At 50.5% G+C, this 15,815-nt stretch overlaps 2 annotated features.

The window, feature by feature from the left end:
* Positions 9,249-9,749: an enhancer, noted in NCBI's record as "H3K4me1 hESC enhancer chr11:120068079-120068579 (GRCh37/hg19 assembly coordinates)". NCBI's record gives its function as "activates a minimal SCP1, AML or CMV promoter by ChIP-STARR-seq in naive H9 embryonic stem cells {active_cell/tissue: H9 hESC(naive)}" and the evidence as "EXISTENCE:reporter gene assay evidence [ECO:0000049][PMID:30033119]".
* Positions 9,750-10,250: an enhancer, noted in NCBI's record as "H3K4me1 hESC enhancer chr11:120067578-120068078 (GRCh37/hg19 assembly coordinates)". NCBI's record gives its function as "activates a minimal SCP1, AML or CMV promoter by ChIP-STARR-seq in naive H9 embryonic stem cells {active_cell/tissue: H9 hESC(naive)}" and the evidence as "EXISTENCE:reporter gene assay evidence [ECO:0000049][PMID:30033119]".

The raw sequence follows: 15,815 nt of genomic DNA, 5'->3' as shown, positions 1-15,815 counted from the left end.
GCAGCAAAACCTCGGGAGGCACTTTCCCTTTGCTTTTTGGTCTGAGTGTGCCTTAATTTGGGAGGAAGAGAAACACCAAACCATCTCCCAATCTGTGCCCAAGAAAACAGGTGCTGACAAGACCCTGCAGGAGGTGGAAAGGGAAACTGAACCAATGACCTTTACCGAGAGACAGGGAGAGAACCACCAGGTGCTTGTCTTTGCAAGACTGGAAAGATTTTTTTCTTCCCATGACTTTCTGTGAGTGGCTGTTTGGTTTGGGTTAGGTTACAGCCCCTTTGTCTCTGGGCCTTTGCAGATAGAGTGGAGGATTTGCGATTTGAGTTTGAGGGAGAACCAGGGATGGAGTGAGGGATCCCCTCTGCTTCTCAATGTCAATTGCAAAGCTCCAGACACTTCATTGCCAGCACAGAAGTACAAATTAGCTTTCCGCCATCACACAATTATGCAGTTCCATCCATCAAGGGTGTGGTGGGAAAGTGGATTGGAGAGACAGCTGGTGGGGATACTGAGTGGAAAGGGAAGAGAAGTGGAGATGGCTGGGATAGGCATGGAGAAGCTATTCTTTTCGGGCAGAAAAACCAGGCAGAAGGGAAGTTGTCATGGAGGTGGGCTGGATCCATGACTTTCAGGAAGGAAAAGGAAGCCTGGATGATCAGAGCTGCAAGCCAAGGCAGATCTCAGTCCATTGATTAGTCCATTGATTATGGTAGCTCTTCAGGTGCCTTTTACCCTCTGCCTCTTGCTATAATTATTTCACAGTATTTGTGTTTGAAACCAGAGGCTACAAAAGAACCTAGGCCAGCTGTAAGTGGTGCTGCTCAGATTAGAAGCCTGGCATTCTGAAGCCAGGGCTTGTCTCCTCCTTTGACACGGCACAGAGCTCCATGTTGCCCATTGACTCTTGAAAGTCCCAAACATAGCTGGGCACGATGGCTCACGCCTGTAATCCCAGAACTTTGGGAGGCCGAGGCAGGCAGATCAGGAGGTCAGGAGTACGAGACCAGCCTGGCCAATATGGTGAAACTCCGTTTCTAATAAAAATACAAAAATTAACTGGGCATGGTGGCGTGTGCCTGTAGTCCCAGCTACTCAAGAGGCTGAGGCAGGAGGACTGCTTAAACCTAGGTGACGGAGGTTGTAGTGAGCCAAGATCATGCCACTGCACTCTAGCCTGGGCAATAGAGCAAGACTCTGTCTCAAAACAAACAAACAGAAAAAAGTCCCAAACATAACCTCTTTTCCTCCATGCTAGTTCCTCCATGAGGCCTTCCCTGCTCCCCACCCCCAGACTCATGCATTCACTCGTTCATTCAGTCATCTAGCACGTGAAGAGTGAGTCACTGCACTAGATGCTGTGGGCACAGCAGTGGAACAAGGCAGATGCAACAATTATTTACCCTGAGATGGAACATGCAAGAGAAGCAGGCTATAAAATCATGGCAAAACAAAATATTTTAATTATAATTGTTATAATGGAGAATTAGAGGAGAGTCTAGCCTAGACCAGGAGGCCTTCTTGGAAGGCTTTTCCAGGTGTAGCCTAATCTTAAAAGATGAATCAGCATTGACCAGCAAAGACAATGTTCCAGGCAAAGGAAACAGCTTGTGTACAGGACCTGAGTCTGGTGGGCTTCCCAGAAACATCACCAGGTAGCTAGGGCATGACGGGGGTGAAGAGTTGCTTGAAATCATGCAGTACAGTTTGGCAGGGCCCAAGAAACGCAGGGCCTTGGAGGCAATATTAGCACTGGGCTTGGTTTTGTTTTGTTTTCCTAAGATCAATGGGCAGTCATCGAAAGGTGTTATATAAGGGGTGACATGATCAGACTTGTATTTTAAAAATATTGTGCTCAGGAAATGGATTGTGGCCATGACAAGTAGTGCTGATGAGTGGGGTGGTGGTGGTGGCAGTAGGGGTGTGGAGAGGGGTTGGAATTCAGCAACACGGGGGAGTAGGATTTGATGTTTCTTTGGACTGGGGCAAGTGAGCAGGAGCGGTCAAGGGCAACTCCTGGTTCTGGCTTGCGTAGGCTGTGGCACCATGAATTAAGGTTGGGTAGCTGGGGAGAAGCCCTGGGATTGCCTTTATGGTAGCTCTTCAGGTGCCTTTCACCCTCTGCCTCTTGCTATAATTATTTCACAGCATTTGTGTTTGAAACCAGAGGCTACAAAAGAACCTAGGCCAGCTGTAAGTGGTGCCGCTCAGATTAGAAGCCTGGTGTTCTGAAGCCAGGGCTCGTCTCCTCCTTTGACATGGCACAGAGCTCCATGTCACCGCCTTCACTCACGGTCTTTGTAGGCTGAACCTGGCCCCTCTTTGCGTCCACCTTATGCCCAGCATGGTGCTTTGTATGCAGAAGGTGCTCAATAATGACATCTCTGTAGCCCTGTGTACCTGGCACTGGGCTATGGGAGAGAGAATCTGAGACACAGTCCCTGCCCTCAAGAATCTTGTTGACCATGTGATCCAGGACCTTCCAGAGCAGGCTGGGCCACCTCATTATAATGGAAGACCTCAGGCCCTTTTCAGATGCCAGTATTGCTCCTACCTGGAGACTCAGACATCTGTCCCTGAGAGCATTTTGCCCGTCATGCCCTGGCAAGTCCTTCATCAGGGCACACTCAGGGAGGCTTTAGAGAAGAGAGGTCTTGTTCACTGGTCTGGAGCGTCGCTGCCTTCAGCCACAGAGACCTTAGACTGTACGCCTGCGGCAAGAAGATGGGATCTGGCAGGGTTTGTGTGCCTTGTGTTGATTACATTTTAATGGGTAAACACCCTTTCCTTTATGCAAATCCCCGAGAAAATTTATTACTTTTTTTTTTTTTTTTTTTGAGATGGAGTCTCGCTCTGTCGCCCAGGCTGGAGTGCAGGGGCGCGATCTCAGCTCACTGCAAGCTCTGCCTCCCGGGTTCATGCCATTCTCCTGCCTCAGCCTCCCGAGTAGCTGGGACTACAGGCGCCCGCCACCACGCCCGGCTAATTTTTTGGATTTTTAGTACAGACGGGATTTCACCGTGTTAGCCAGGATGGTCTCGATCTCCTGACCTCGTGATCCACCCGCCTTGGCCTCCCAAAGTGCTGGGATTACAGGCATGAGTCACCGCGCCCGGCCAGAAATTTATTACTTTAAAAAATCAGTTGGATTTTTAGCCTGGTATTTTATTGCTCTTGAAAAATGTGCGTGTTACAGCTTGGGATGGGACATCCTGCTTTTTCATCAGGGGGCTGAGTGTGAACAAAGTTGAGCCTGGACAGGGGCCATTTCTGACCAGAGCCATCAGCTTGTCTCCCTTTTCCTGTCACAGTTGCTATGGGCCCCCTTATCAGAACATCTGGCTTCCATCTGACTGATGGTATCATCAAGGCTTAGGCTAGAGAGTCTAAGAAGGTTCTAGCATTATCCAGGGAGGGAGGCTCAGGGCCTAGTTTCTTATCCAGTGGAAAAGGGAACATTGCCCTCTCCTGAACTGGGGATCTCAGAGCCACCCTCACTATCATGACTTTTTAAAAAAAGATCTTTCATTTTTCCGAACAAATGGAAAGATACTATGTTTATCGAGAAAAATGTGATAAAAATATATACATTTAGTGCATTTCCAATTAACATCCTAATGGAGCTTAAACATTTTTAAAACAGACTTTTTTATTTTTAACCGTTTTAGGAGTCACAGCAAAATCGAGTGGAAAGTACAGCGTTCCCATATACCCTTGGCCCCTATGTATTCATACTCTTCACCATCAGCATCCCTGCCGGAGGGCTATGTTTGTTACAATCAATGAACTTGTAGTGACACTTTGTAATCAACCAAAGTACACAGTGTACATGAGGGTTCCATTCTTGGTTCTGTATATTTGATGGGTTTTGACAAATGTATCCACCATTACAGTATCATACAGAGGGTTTCACTATGCTAAAAATCCCACGTTCCACCTATCCATGCCATTAAAAAGTGCATGTAATCGTGTTAGGCCACTGGAGAGAAAATAAAACCTGATCAATATTGATTTCAGATTATCTTCTGAGCATTGTGGTTTTTATGAAGTTATCGCTGCATGCCCTGTGTTTCCTGTCCTGCTTTTCTTAATATTATTTCCTACATGCATTTCCACATATTGACACAGTCCACACATCATTCTTTTTTTGTTTTTTCGAGACAGAGTCTTGCTCTGTCGCCCAGGCTGGAGTGCAGTGGCACGATCTCAGCTCACTGCAACCTCTGCCTTCTGGATTCAAGCAATTCTCCTGCCTCAGCCTCCTGAGTAGCTGGGATTATAGGCACCTGCCACCATGCCCAGCTATTTTTTGTATTTTTAGTAGAGACGGGGTTTCACCATGTTGGCCAGGCTGGTCTCAAACTCCTGACCTTGTGATCCACCCGCCTCAGCCTCCCAAAGTGCTGGGATTACAGGTGTGAGCCACCATGCCCGGCCCACACATCGTTCTTAATAAAGTTATAGAGCACACCATGGTGTAAAGAGTTGACAGCGTACTCTAATCATTTGTTGGTTATTATTTTTCTACTATACAATCTTGTAGAAAAGATTTAAAAGGAGACTACAAATTGTGATTCTGATGCTTTTTGCAGAGTTTGAATGCTATGCACTTAAACTCTGATTTATGCCTTCAGCCAGGTTCCTCTCTAGCAGCCCCCTGAGACAGAGTGTCCTGTATATCTCTTTTCATGTCTGTGAAGGGAAAAGACCCCATAATGTCCCGAGGGGACTCAATTACTGCTGTACAAACACAGGATCTTAGCTACTTTCAACTAGAAATTTCTTTCTCATGTACAACACAAATGTCCTTGACTTGAATGTAAACTTTCCACCCTTTCCTGAGTGTGAACAGTTTCTCTCACCTGCACATCGTGTGTGCAAATCAAAAGAGTATGATCCATATTAGGAGTTATTTATATGTGATGATATTCTGCAGGAGAATGTCATAGACTTTTCATGAATTCTCATCAAAGTCAAATAGCACAAACCTTTGTGAGGGGTGTTATTCTGACTTCCATTTTATAGACGAGGAAAGAAGAGGATTCATTAATGCTCAGCTTTAAAATTAAAAAAAATCATATTATATGTCTTCTATTTGGAATTTTAAATTACTTCCTCCAAATAACCCACTTATTAAAAACAAAGTGGTGAGAAATCATGTCACGATTCATCATTTGCTTACAGTAAGCCTGGAACTTTGGACTCATTTTCTTACTTAATTCTTATGATAACTCTGGGAAGCAGGAGACCAAAGTGACTTTTAAACCCAAGACTTTGTGTGGTGACTGGGGGCAGGGAGGGGGTGGGGGGCACTGGCCAAGGCCATCAGGGATGAAGGCAGAGGGGTTGGGGATCTGGTTGTCACCACTCACCTGAAACTTCTCTCTTATTTCCTGCAAATAACAGAGTGGAACGTGTGAAAGGGCTGTTGATGGCAACCGGGGAGGACACAGAGCAGGACCCATACCTTGGGAGGAAGTGGGCTTGCAGTTTCCACCCTTCCCAGGCCCCTGATCTTGACATCTTGGCTCTGTTGTTAGCTAGCTGTGTGAAATAGAGCCAATGACAGCCTCCTCCTGACACCGATGAGTCTCTGCTTCCTCCCACGTTAAAGAGGGGATATTAGTACCTACTCCAGTTGGTTATGATGCGGACTAAATGTGATATAGTATACAATTAGGATGGTGCCTATACCAAGTGGAGATTAGTGAAACGTTTTATTTATTTATTTTTGAGATGGAGTCTTGCTCTGTCACCCAGGCTGGTGTGCAGTGGTGCAATCTTGGCTCACTGCAACCTCTGCCTCCCAAGTTCAAGCGATTCTCCTGCCTCAGCCTCCCAAGTAGCTGGGACTACAGGCATGGGACACCATGCCCAGCTAATTTTTGTATTTTTAGTAGAGATGGGTTTCGCCATATTGGGCAGGCTGGTCTCGAACTCCTGACTTCAAGTGATCCGCCCAACTCGGCTTCCCTAAGTGCTGGGATTACAGGTGTGAGTCACTGCGCCCGGCCAAAACTTCTTCTTACCCTCCTTTGCTATCTTTCCTGTCTGATAGCCCTGGAGTGAGTTTGGAGTGTCTATGACACTCTTGGGTCACCTCAGCTCTTCCTGCCACAAGACCCTCAGACCTCTAGCTCCAACCCTGCTGCCCTACCTGCCTCTCAGTGCTCCCCAGAATGGACGAGAAACCCAAGAGCCAAATCCTGGCTTCCTGACCCAGGGATGAAGCCCTAGCAGCCCTTCCTTGGCCCAGGTCCTCTTTCCTGTACCTTTGTTCTGCTCCCTGCTGTTAACAATGATTCACAGATCAAAGGATGTCCCCAGCAGGGATCCTTAACCATGAATTTGCTTCAGGGTCCAGAACTCTTGGAAATTACAATATAAAAAAACCTTGTGTATATATTTGCATTTTTCTGGAAATAGAATTCTCAGGGATTCCTAACCTCTGTGGGTAGATTTGAGGTGGGAGAGGGATTATGTGGGGTTTCTTCTGTGTGGACTAAAATTCTCTTAGAATTGAGATAGCAGTGTACAAGTTCAGTAGAAAAAGTCTGGTCCCAACCACAAAAAGAAGTGAAACAGAGATGAAGAGCCCACCTCTTACCTAGGGGAGAATTCCTGGGGAAAGGCAGATCTTCTGCTCATATTTTGTAGAATCATTCATGGTCTCTTCATGCTCTGCTCACTCACTCATTCATTTCATCAATCAGCATTTATTATATACCTACTGTGTGCCTTGCTTTACACTAAGTCATACTGGCTATACAAACATCAGTTCTTTAAAGTGTGGTCCTGCTTTAAAGCGTGCTTGTTAAAAATACAGGTTCCTGGACCTCAACCATGGAGGGCATTGCCTGGGACTCTGCATTTTAAACAGGCTCCTTCGGCTCATTAAATTAGGTTGACAGCCATTGATAGAGACTGGCATCTCCTCCCAGGCACAGCCTTTGGCATTGGTATGCAGCAAAGTGCCCGCATCATGGTTGCCTCCAAGACTGTTGGTTGGACCAAGATCACGGTTCTGACCCTTCTGCAGGAGAGGTTAGTTCCCTCCCTCCCTCTGCCCTGGCTCCCCCTGCCTCTCTTGAATGCTGGGCCCTGTGAGGGGGGAGGGAGCGGAGGGGTCGCTGGCTGTCCCCTCTACTGCAGCTGTGCTGGGGGCACAGTCTTGGGCAGATTGTGAACCCCAAGAGCAGAGAGGCTGTCCCAGCATGCGCTGCTCCATCCTGACTGGGCGAAGATCTGAGAGTACCAATTAATGTTAACGAGGCTCCCTCTGCCTAGGCCTGTCTTAAGGCTTGGCTAATTAACACTTCTATGGTCCCTTGGGTCCCTAGAATGAGAGGTTTGCGGAGACCTGCAGGAAGTGACTGGTTTCAACCAAAAGGATCTTTCTACCTGTAGTAAGCATCGGGAGGCTGAGACCTGGAATGATAGTGGCTTGGGAACTGGAACCTGGAACAGCAGTAGCTGGTGTTTCTTGATCAACCCGCGTGCTTTACATCCAGCACCCCACTTAATACCCACTTGTGCTCCAGCAGCTAGGATTACTATTTCCCTCCTTTCACAGAGGAGGAAAGTGAGGCCTGGGGTTTGGAGCAAGGTCACACAGCTAGTGTGGCAGAACTAGGGGCACACCCAGGCCATCTGGCTCCAAAGTCTGAGCTCCTGCTCCCGCTCTCTAGAGCCTTCTATGGCCACACAGCCCAGGGTCCCCCTTGTCTTGGCTTCATGCCCAGGCCTGGGCATTTTCTTCTCCATTGGGCCCGCAGAGTTGCTGGCAGCGGGAGACAACCGCAAGCCTGCAGCCCCGGACTCCTTCTTCCCACTGTGCCTTTGGACCTGGTCATGGACTTCCCGTTCCCAGAGAGGATGAGGCAATGGGGAGATGGGGCAGGGCAGGGCGGGGCAGGGACAGACCCTTCCCTTCTCCAGGGTCAGCAGCCTTGGGGAGAACCTACACCCTGTGTCCTCCTAGACAGTGCTGGCCTCCTTCTCTGCTGTGGACTCCTCTTACCTCTGAGGAGGGGATGGAGGTGGGCAGGGCGTGTGTGCAGCTGGCAGGGACATTATAAACACATGGTCAGGATCTTGCCCCCTGGAACCTGTCTCCAGCATGACTGTGGGGCAGCTTTGAGCAAACTTCAGATTTCTAGGAACTGGTGGGCCTCTGGTCATTTCATGGTTATCAGTCAGCCTTTCCCAACTTCTGTCTTGCTTACAGATGGGCAAATGGGTCACGTAGTGAGGACTGTGGAATCAGTCCCAAGTCTGAATTGTGGCTCTGTCACATTCTAGCTGTGTGGCCTTGGACTTAAACCTCTAAGATGTAAAGCTTCAGTTTTTTGTCAGTAAAATGGCTGTAATGATTCCCATCTTGTTGGGTTGTTGTGGGACTTTAGAAAAGTACTATATTCAACGCCCTGGGCTGCCCACCCTACTGCTCTGTCTCCTGGTCAAGGCCAGACATTCTGCTTCGGTTGGACCTGTAGCAGAGCAGCCGGGCAGAGAGAAAAGACCACGTGGCCAGAGGCCTCGGCTGCACAGGAAGAGGCATCTAATAACTGTTGTATAAATGGTAGCTATTTTTCATATGTGCTGGGGCCATTGGCAATACTGCCTCTTATTTATTTATTTTAGAGACAGGGTCTTGCTCTGTTTCCCAGGCTGGAGTGCAGGGGCATGATCATTGCTCACTGTAACCTCACCTCAAAATTCTGGGTGCAGTGATCTTCCCACCCTGGTCTCCCAAAACGTTGAAATTATAGGCATGAGCCACCACATCCAGCCAAGCCTCGTATTTCTTAACTAGAGACAATGGAGGCTGATTTGGGCTGACGCGTTGAGACCCCAGTGAGAGGGCACTGAAATCCAGGCAGGATTCAGGGTATCTGTGGCATTCCTGCGGGGAGTTCTGTTTGCCCAATTCCCTCCCCTCCCCCATCCCCTCCCCAGGCCTGCCTCCAGCGTGCCCTCCCAATTCCCCCTCCCACCCTCCACATCTGGATTCAACTAGCAAACAACGGGCTTTCTGTGAATGCCCCCACCTTCCTCTGCCCTCTGTCCTCTGCTACAGAACTTTGGCTCTCACTGGGGCAGATGGGGGCGGGTGGGGAAAACGGGTCAGGAAAGCTTTGAGCTCTGTTTCCCCAAACCTGTAGGGTTGACTTAACTCTGCACCCCCAGCCGCCCGGCCGCCTGGCCGCGCCTCCCCCACCCCCCACCCACCGCCTTGCCCTGATTCTCGGTGTTGTCTGTTGCTCAGGATCCACCAGGGAGCCTGGAGCCCTAGTTCAGAGCCGGGGCCAGGAAGGAGACTGCAGTCCTCCACCCTCCACCCCAATCCCAGGCCAGAGAACACAGCCACTCCTGTCTGCCAGAGAGAAGCCCTGCTGGGCTTCTAGAGGCCAAGCAGTAAATTGGAATGTGGCAGTCACAGTCAAGGCAGCTGTAACTCTCATTAAAGTGACATCAACCCCACCACGGGAGGATGCTGTAAATCCAGGGAAAGGGGGCATTCATCCAGGGAGAACCGCAGAAGCAAAGAAAAAAACCCATAAATAGAGGAGACGTGGTGTCTGGAACTAATGGCGGGGCCCAACCCAAGGCCGGGCTGAACTGGGGGTGGGGTGGGGAGGGAGCTAAAGGCTGGAGGAGGGGGTGGAGGTCCGGAGCCGGGCCCTAGATGCCGGCGCAGTGCAGAGGCACAGCCGAGGCCTCTACCTGTAGCTGAGTCTCCTCTGCCCTTTCTGCCCAGGCTCCTCGGCTAAGACTGGCACTTGGGAGCAGAGTTGGCTTGTGTCCCTGGGGAAATGGCTGGGGAGGTGTCACTGTTTATGGGCCTTCCCAGGGTCAAGAGGAGCTGTTGCTTTGGCCATTAAGATTCTGTCAGCTCTCAGAGGAGAAATCAGCCTTAGGTCAAACTCCAGGCTTAGAGCTGGTCACCTGAATTCAAATCCAGGCTCTGCTACCTCTTCAAAGCTGTGGGCCTTGGGAGACTATCTTCACTTTTGGAAGTCTCAGTTTTCCCCTATCAGAGAAATGGAAGGATCCCCCGTGCCATATAGACCTGGTGTGAACATCCGGGTAGATAAACACGGGGTAACATCTGGCTGTCTGTGGGTGCTGCTTGTCAATTGACTGAATGAATCAGCAAAGCCCTGCAACCCCAGAAGCTGGGATTTTCTTTCAGAGCAGTTCCCTTCTGCTCAGGTCTGGGTTCGGCCGCTAATTTGCTGAGACGCCTTGGGCAGGGGACCTAACTTGTTAGGGCTTTGGTGTTTTGTGGGTTTTCTTGGTTTTGTTTCTTGAAAACGAAGCTGTTGTTGAGTGTGACTCTGGATGGGGTAGATGGGGCTGCACACAGTAGGAGCACTACTCCTTTGTTTTGGGGTCTATGGAGTGGCCTGATCTCTAGGTCCCTGTGAACTCCAGGTGGGCTGCATTCTAGGATCTTCCCCTAGGGTCGTTCTGGTCGTTCTCCCTCCTCACCACCTATACCAGGAACCTGGGACACTACATTGGGAGGCCCCCTCTCCTTTGCTCTCTGGCCCTGGTGGCAGTGTTGCTAGCGTCTACCCTGTTCTGAGGAAGGGTCAAGGCCAACCATGCTCTCCTGGGGTAGGAATGAAGGAGACAGAGTGGGCTGGAGAAGTCCTGCTGTGTTTCTCCCTGCCCTCAAGTTGCAGTGTGCATCGGAATCTCCCGGAAGGCCTGTTAAATCACAGATTGCTAGGCTCCACACCCGGGTTGGGTTTCAGTAGGGCCTCAGAATCTGCATTTCTAACAAGTTTTTGGATTGCCGTGATGCTTCTGAGTTTGGGCTGCATTGTGAGAAAAATTACCCTAGAGTGATCTGCTGGACTCAGCTTCCTAGCCTGCATTCTTGTGGACCTGCAGCTGAAGCAAATTGGTGCTGCAGACAGACTCCAAGATGCCTGCGTGCAAGCTCTTAAGTCAGCTAGGATCTCCAGGGCCATCATTCACTGCTGTGCAAAGAGCTGGTCGGGGGGCCTCCGTGAAACAGCAGTTCTTGGGAATGCGACGCAGTCATCTATGTCTAACAAGCTCCCAGGGTGACTCTCGCGCACAGCCCTGTTTGAGAACCACTGCCATAGAGGGTACTGGTATTGGAAATTCAGTTTCCTGTGTGGGCTCCTCCCTCCCATCTCCCCACCAAAAAGGATTAGAGAAAAAGGGAGTGAGGAGTGGGAAAGCAGGAATTAAATTGAGTAAAATCGTCTAGGCGAAGAGAGAGGCACAGTCAATTGAAAGGAAAGGCAATAAAACCAGGCTCTGTAAACACCCAGAAATGAGGCTCAAGGCTGGGCTTGGGGAAGAAAACACAATTTACCTCTGGGGAGGGCCAGAGGGACGCACGTGCGGGTAGAGGCAGCCCTGCTGATTTAAAGGATGCTTCTGGGGCATGCCTTCCTCCCTGCAAGCAGAGGCTGATGATGGATGAATGCCACAGCTGAGACCTCCCAAGGGGCAGGAGCAGGGGCAGGGAGGGGGCTGGAAGCTGTGGAGTGGGGGCGGGCCAGGAGGGTCACTGCTTCACCCCCAGCACATGTTTAGCCAACAACAGAGGCACTCAGAGAAAACTCACCAGTGCCCTGGATCTGCCATCTCCTTTCTGGCCCCTAACACCTTGCTTCAACCTCTGGAGAAAGCCATGCCTGAATCCAAATCCTCCTCTGAGGAAGCGTCTGCCCCACCCACTCCATCCTGTAAGCAGCAGCTTTCTCACTAGCCCTGGGAGCAGAGTGTTCCAATGCCCCTTTGGTGGGCCATGGCTATGGTGCCTGTTTCCTCACCTCACAGAAGGACACACGGCCTGAGAAGAGGGACTAAACTTACAGGACACAGGAAAGAAAGCTGGAATTAGGGCTGCCTTAGACTCTACGGTCTGCATGGTTACCATCGCAGAATAATGCCACAGGTTGCAGAGCCTTTCACAGTTTGCATGATGGCATTACCTCCCCTCCACAACTCTGTAAGAAAGGCAGAGAAGTTATTAGATCTCATTTAAAAATGAGAACGAAGGCTGGGCATGGTGGCTCACACCTGTAATTCCAGCACTTTGGGAGGCCGAGGTGGGCAGACTGCTTGAGCCTAGGAGTTTGATAACAGCCTGGGCAACACGGCGAAACCCTGTCTACCAAAAAAACAAACGAACCAAAAAACAAAATTAGCTGGGTGTGGTGGCATGCATCTGTGGTCCCAGCTACTCGAGAGGCTGAGATGGGAGGAGTGCTTGAGCCCAGGAGGTTGAGGCTGCAGTGAGCTGAGATCGCACCACTGCACCCCAGCCTGGTTGGCAGAGTGAGACCCTGCCTCAAAAATAAAAATGAAAAAGCTGAGAGTAAGAGAAATGAAAAGACTTGTCCCAATCCATGCATCTAGGTAAGAGTTTAGACCCAAACAGGAACCTCAGTTTCTCATTCCCTGTTGGCCTCTCTACTGGAGTCAATTTAGCTCACTTCTTGAAACTGATATTAGGTTTGGGGTGGTGGGGAGAGTTGAGAGTTTGTGGTGGGTGCCTGGAAGCTGAGGCCAAAGCATCCTTTGGGATGGAGGTGCTTACTGCCTCAGCTGCCCAGAGTGTTGGCCGGGAAGGTGCACAGCTCTGTCTCTCTGAAATTGCCCTCAGCTGAAGGGAGATGCTCACAGTTATGGCCCTTCTTGAGGGTGCAGATGACGGATGAATGCAGCAGCTGAGACCTCCCAGGGGCAGGAGCAGGGGTGGCGGTGGAGGAGGGGAGCAGGCCAGGAGGGCCACTGCTTCAGCCCTAGCACATGGTTAGCCATGTTGCACCCAGTGACATGTTGTACCCAGTGACGCCTTGCACCCAATGACATGTTGGTGAGGATTACAAAGGCCTGGCCCTCTTGCCTTAATGTGGGATATCTCTGCAGAGCCCCAGAGTCCCCATGGGGTTGGCAAAGGCCTTGGTTGCAACTTCACAGCCAACATCCAACGTCCAATGTTTCCCCCAACCCAAGCCTGTTCTCTCCACTTCCCCTACAGGGGTTCATCCCCACAGCATTCCAATAAATGATGCAAAGCTCTCAGAGTCTCTTTGCTAGGAACCTGACTTAATATGGGAGGAGAAGGGAGCTAACTTCAATGGGATGCTTCTTTTTTTTTTTTTTTTTAAAGAAAGATGGTCTCATCTAATACAACACATCTGTGAACTAAGCATTTTTGCTATGTTACTGTTCAGAAAATGTTAAAGAAGTTGTCAAGACCAAATGGTATCTGGCAAAGCTGGGATTCTAGTGCAGGCCCACTCTGACTTTGAGAGCACAGGTTCTACTCTCTCCCCACTGTATAAAAGGTGGGGAGTCCCTGACCCTGACCTGTGGGGTCTAGGGTGGAAAGGAGCTGGCTGGCCAAGGACTTGCCTGTGGTGTTCGAGTAGGCATGTAAACACCCATGAGAAGAGTGTTCACACCTGGGGTGCAAATGGGGGGAGGCAGGAAGCAGGGAAGGGTGGCCACATGTGGCAACCTTTGCTGGCCAAGGAGGCAGAGGTGCCTCTGGTGGAAGAAGACCTTGGGATCGGCCAGCAGCAGCCGTGAGGCACATCTGAACCCTCTCCCCGCACAGGCCCCATACAGTGGGGACTGCTGGCTCTGAGCCTCCCTGGGGCACACAAAGAAGGTTTACCTTTGCCCAAGCTGGTTGGCAAGACCCAGGTCCCATCCTGTCCCAGTGAAGGGTGAGGACTCTGGACTTCTCTGGCTCTGTGTGCTCCCTCTGGTCCCAACACAGCGGAGGACTGGCCCCTGCCTGCCTCTGGGGCCGCTCTGGTGGTAGTCAAGGTGAGTTCAAGGTCAGCAGCATGCTGCCACAGCCGCAAGCCGGCCTCGTAGCTCCTCCCTCAGGCCCCAGCCCTGGAGCACTCTGGAGCCGATCATGGGAGGAGGATCTTTCCTGAACTTTGTCTCTGGAGGGCCCAAGCCAGTTCTACCGTTGGTGTGTCCATTTGCAGAGGGGCGCCTGGTACCAGTCCTCCCCTGAGGGGCAATGCCCCCGGAACTACAGCTGGGGAAGGGCAGCAGGTCTGGAAACAAGCCAAGAGCACCCCGTCTGGTGCCGGTGGACTTTCTTGCATGAATTGGCAGCTCCGTCAAGCTTTGGCATCAATTCCAAAAGTGGAGCATTGGGGCTTGTCCTGTCACCTGGAGATTCTGAGCACATATTTACAGTTTACAGAAGTAGAAACAAAAGTAACCCTTTTATCTCCTCAGAGGAAGCTGGCCCTTCCACTGAGTACAGGAGCCGGAGACAATGTAACCTTCCCTGAGAAGATACTCTTTGGGGTAGGAGGCAGCTGTCTAGACGTGGCACCACCGAATGCACCCTAGCAAATCAGGAAAATCTCTTTTTCCTTTTTTTTCTTTTTTTCTGAGACAGAGTCTTGCTCTGTCGCCCAGGCTGGAATGCAGTGGCGCGATCTCGGCTAACTGCAAGCTCCACCTCCCGGGTTCACACCATTCTCCTGCCTCAGCCTCCGGAGTAGCTGGGACTATAGGCGCCCGCCACCACGTCCGGCTAATTTTTTTGCATTTTTAGTAGAGACGAGGTTTACACCGTGTTAGCCAGGATGGTCTCGATCTCCTGACCTCGTGATCCTCTCGTCTCGGCCTCCCAAAGTGCTGGGATTACAGGCATGAGCCACCGTGCCCGGCCATCTCTTTTTCCTTAAAATGCTCAACTGGTGTGTGCAGAACTCCCCCTTGCCTCAGCAACTGGGAGGAGTGCCTTGAAATGGCAGCGTGGGTCAGGAGCTGGGGCTCTGGGTCTAAGTGCCAGGTCGGCCATCTGCAGGAAGGAGCAGCAGCAAGATTCTCTACTGAGCTGGGCCCTGCTTTCCTCACCCGGTGGGGAATGTCTTTCAGCTGCGGGAGGTTATTTGTGACTGCCATCTTTTTCTCTTCTCTTCTTTTTTTTCAAAAAAAAAAAAAAAATCTTTGTGAGAAAAACCCCACCGTTCCACTTGTTTTCTCCGAGCCGTTTTGTTAGTTGAGGTGTTTGCATGCTGAGCAACACACACTAATATTTTCCTCCTCGTCAAAACATTAATTATCCCACCCAGGAACCTTTCTCTTGGATGTTTTTTCTTTACCACCCCTTAAGCTGTTGGGCACCAAGCGATTCCTGTATTTCCCATCATCTCAGCAAGCTGACTGTGATGTTTAAGGAGAGAGAGGCCCCCTTGGCTGGGTGCGGACCCTCCTTTGTGCTCTGTGGCACCCAGTAGTCAGGATGCAGTACTCAGGAGAGCTCCTGTCCCCCTGCTTCTCACTCTATGTGCGAACCATCTGTTTACATCTCTTGTCGTCTCCCACGAGGCTGTGAACGTCCTCATGTCTGTATTCCCGACACCCAGGACAGTGCCTGGCACAGAATAGTGGCCCTACAAATGTTTGCTGCACAAGCACATAAATGAATGAAAATGAAGATAGAATAATAAACACGCAGTAGGAGGAGTCAGGGTTCAAATCAGCCCCCCTGGTTGGGCCCCGCCCCCCAGCCTCCATCTCTTGCCTGTTCATAGAGGGAGCAGTTGTAAGCACAAGTTGGGTCCTTTGCTCTCCCTAGCACTTGGGAAGCCCCATCCTCTCTCCCTGCTTGAGGCCATTCTCAGCTGCCAGACAGCCAGTGTGTTCAGGGGGAGCCCAGTTTCCTCCTCCCTGGTCTCCCCTTGGTTGAGAGTAAGATGGGACAGCAGGGAGAATTCAGAACTTTAGAGTCTGGAAATTAGGGAGGCTCCAGGGAACAAATGCAGAGCTCGACAGGACCTTAG

Source organism: Homo sapiens, chromosome 11 (assembly GCF_000001405.40).
Source record: "Homo sapiens chromosome 11, GRCh38.p14 Primary Assembly".
Lineage (NCBI taxonomy): Eukaryota > Metazoa > Chordata > Mammalia > Primates > Hominidae > Homo > Homo sapiens.
Note: the sequence above shows the minus strand (reverse complement) of the source record. Positions and strands in the feature narration are given on the sequence as shown.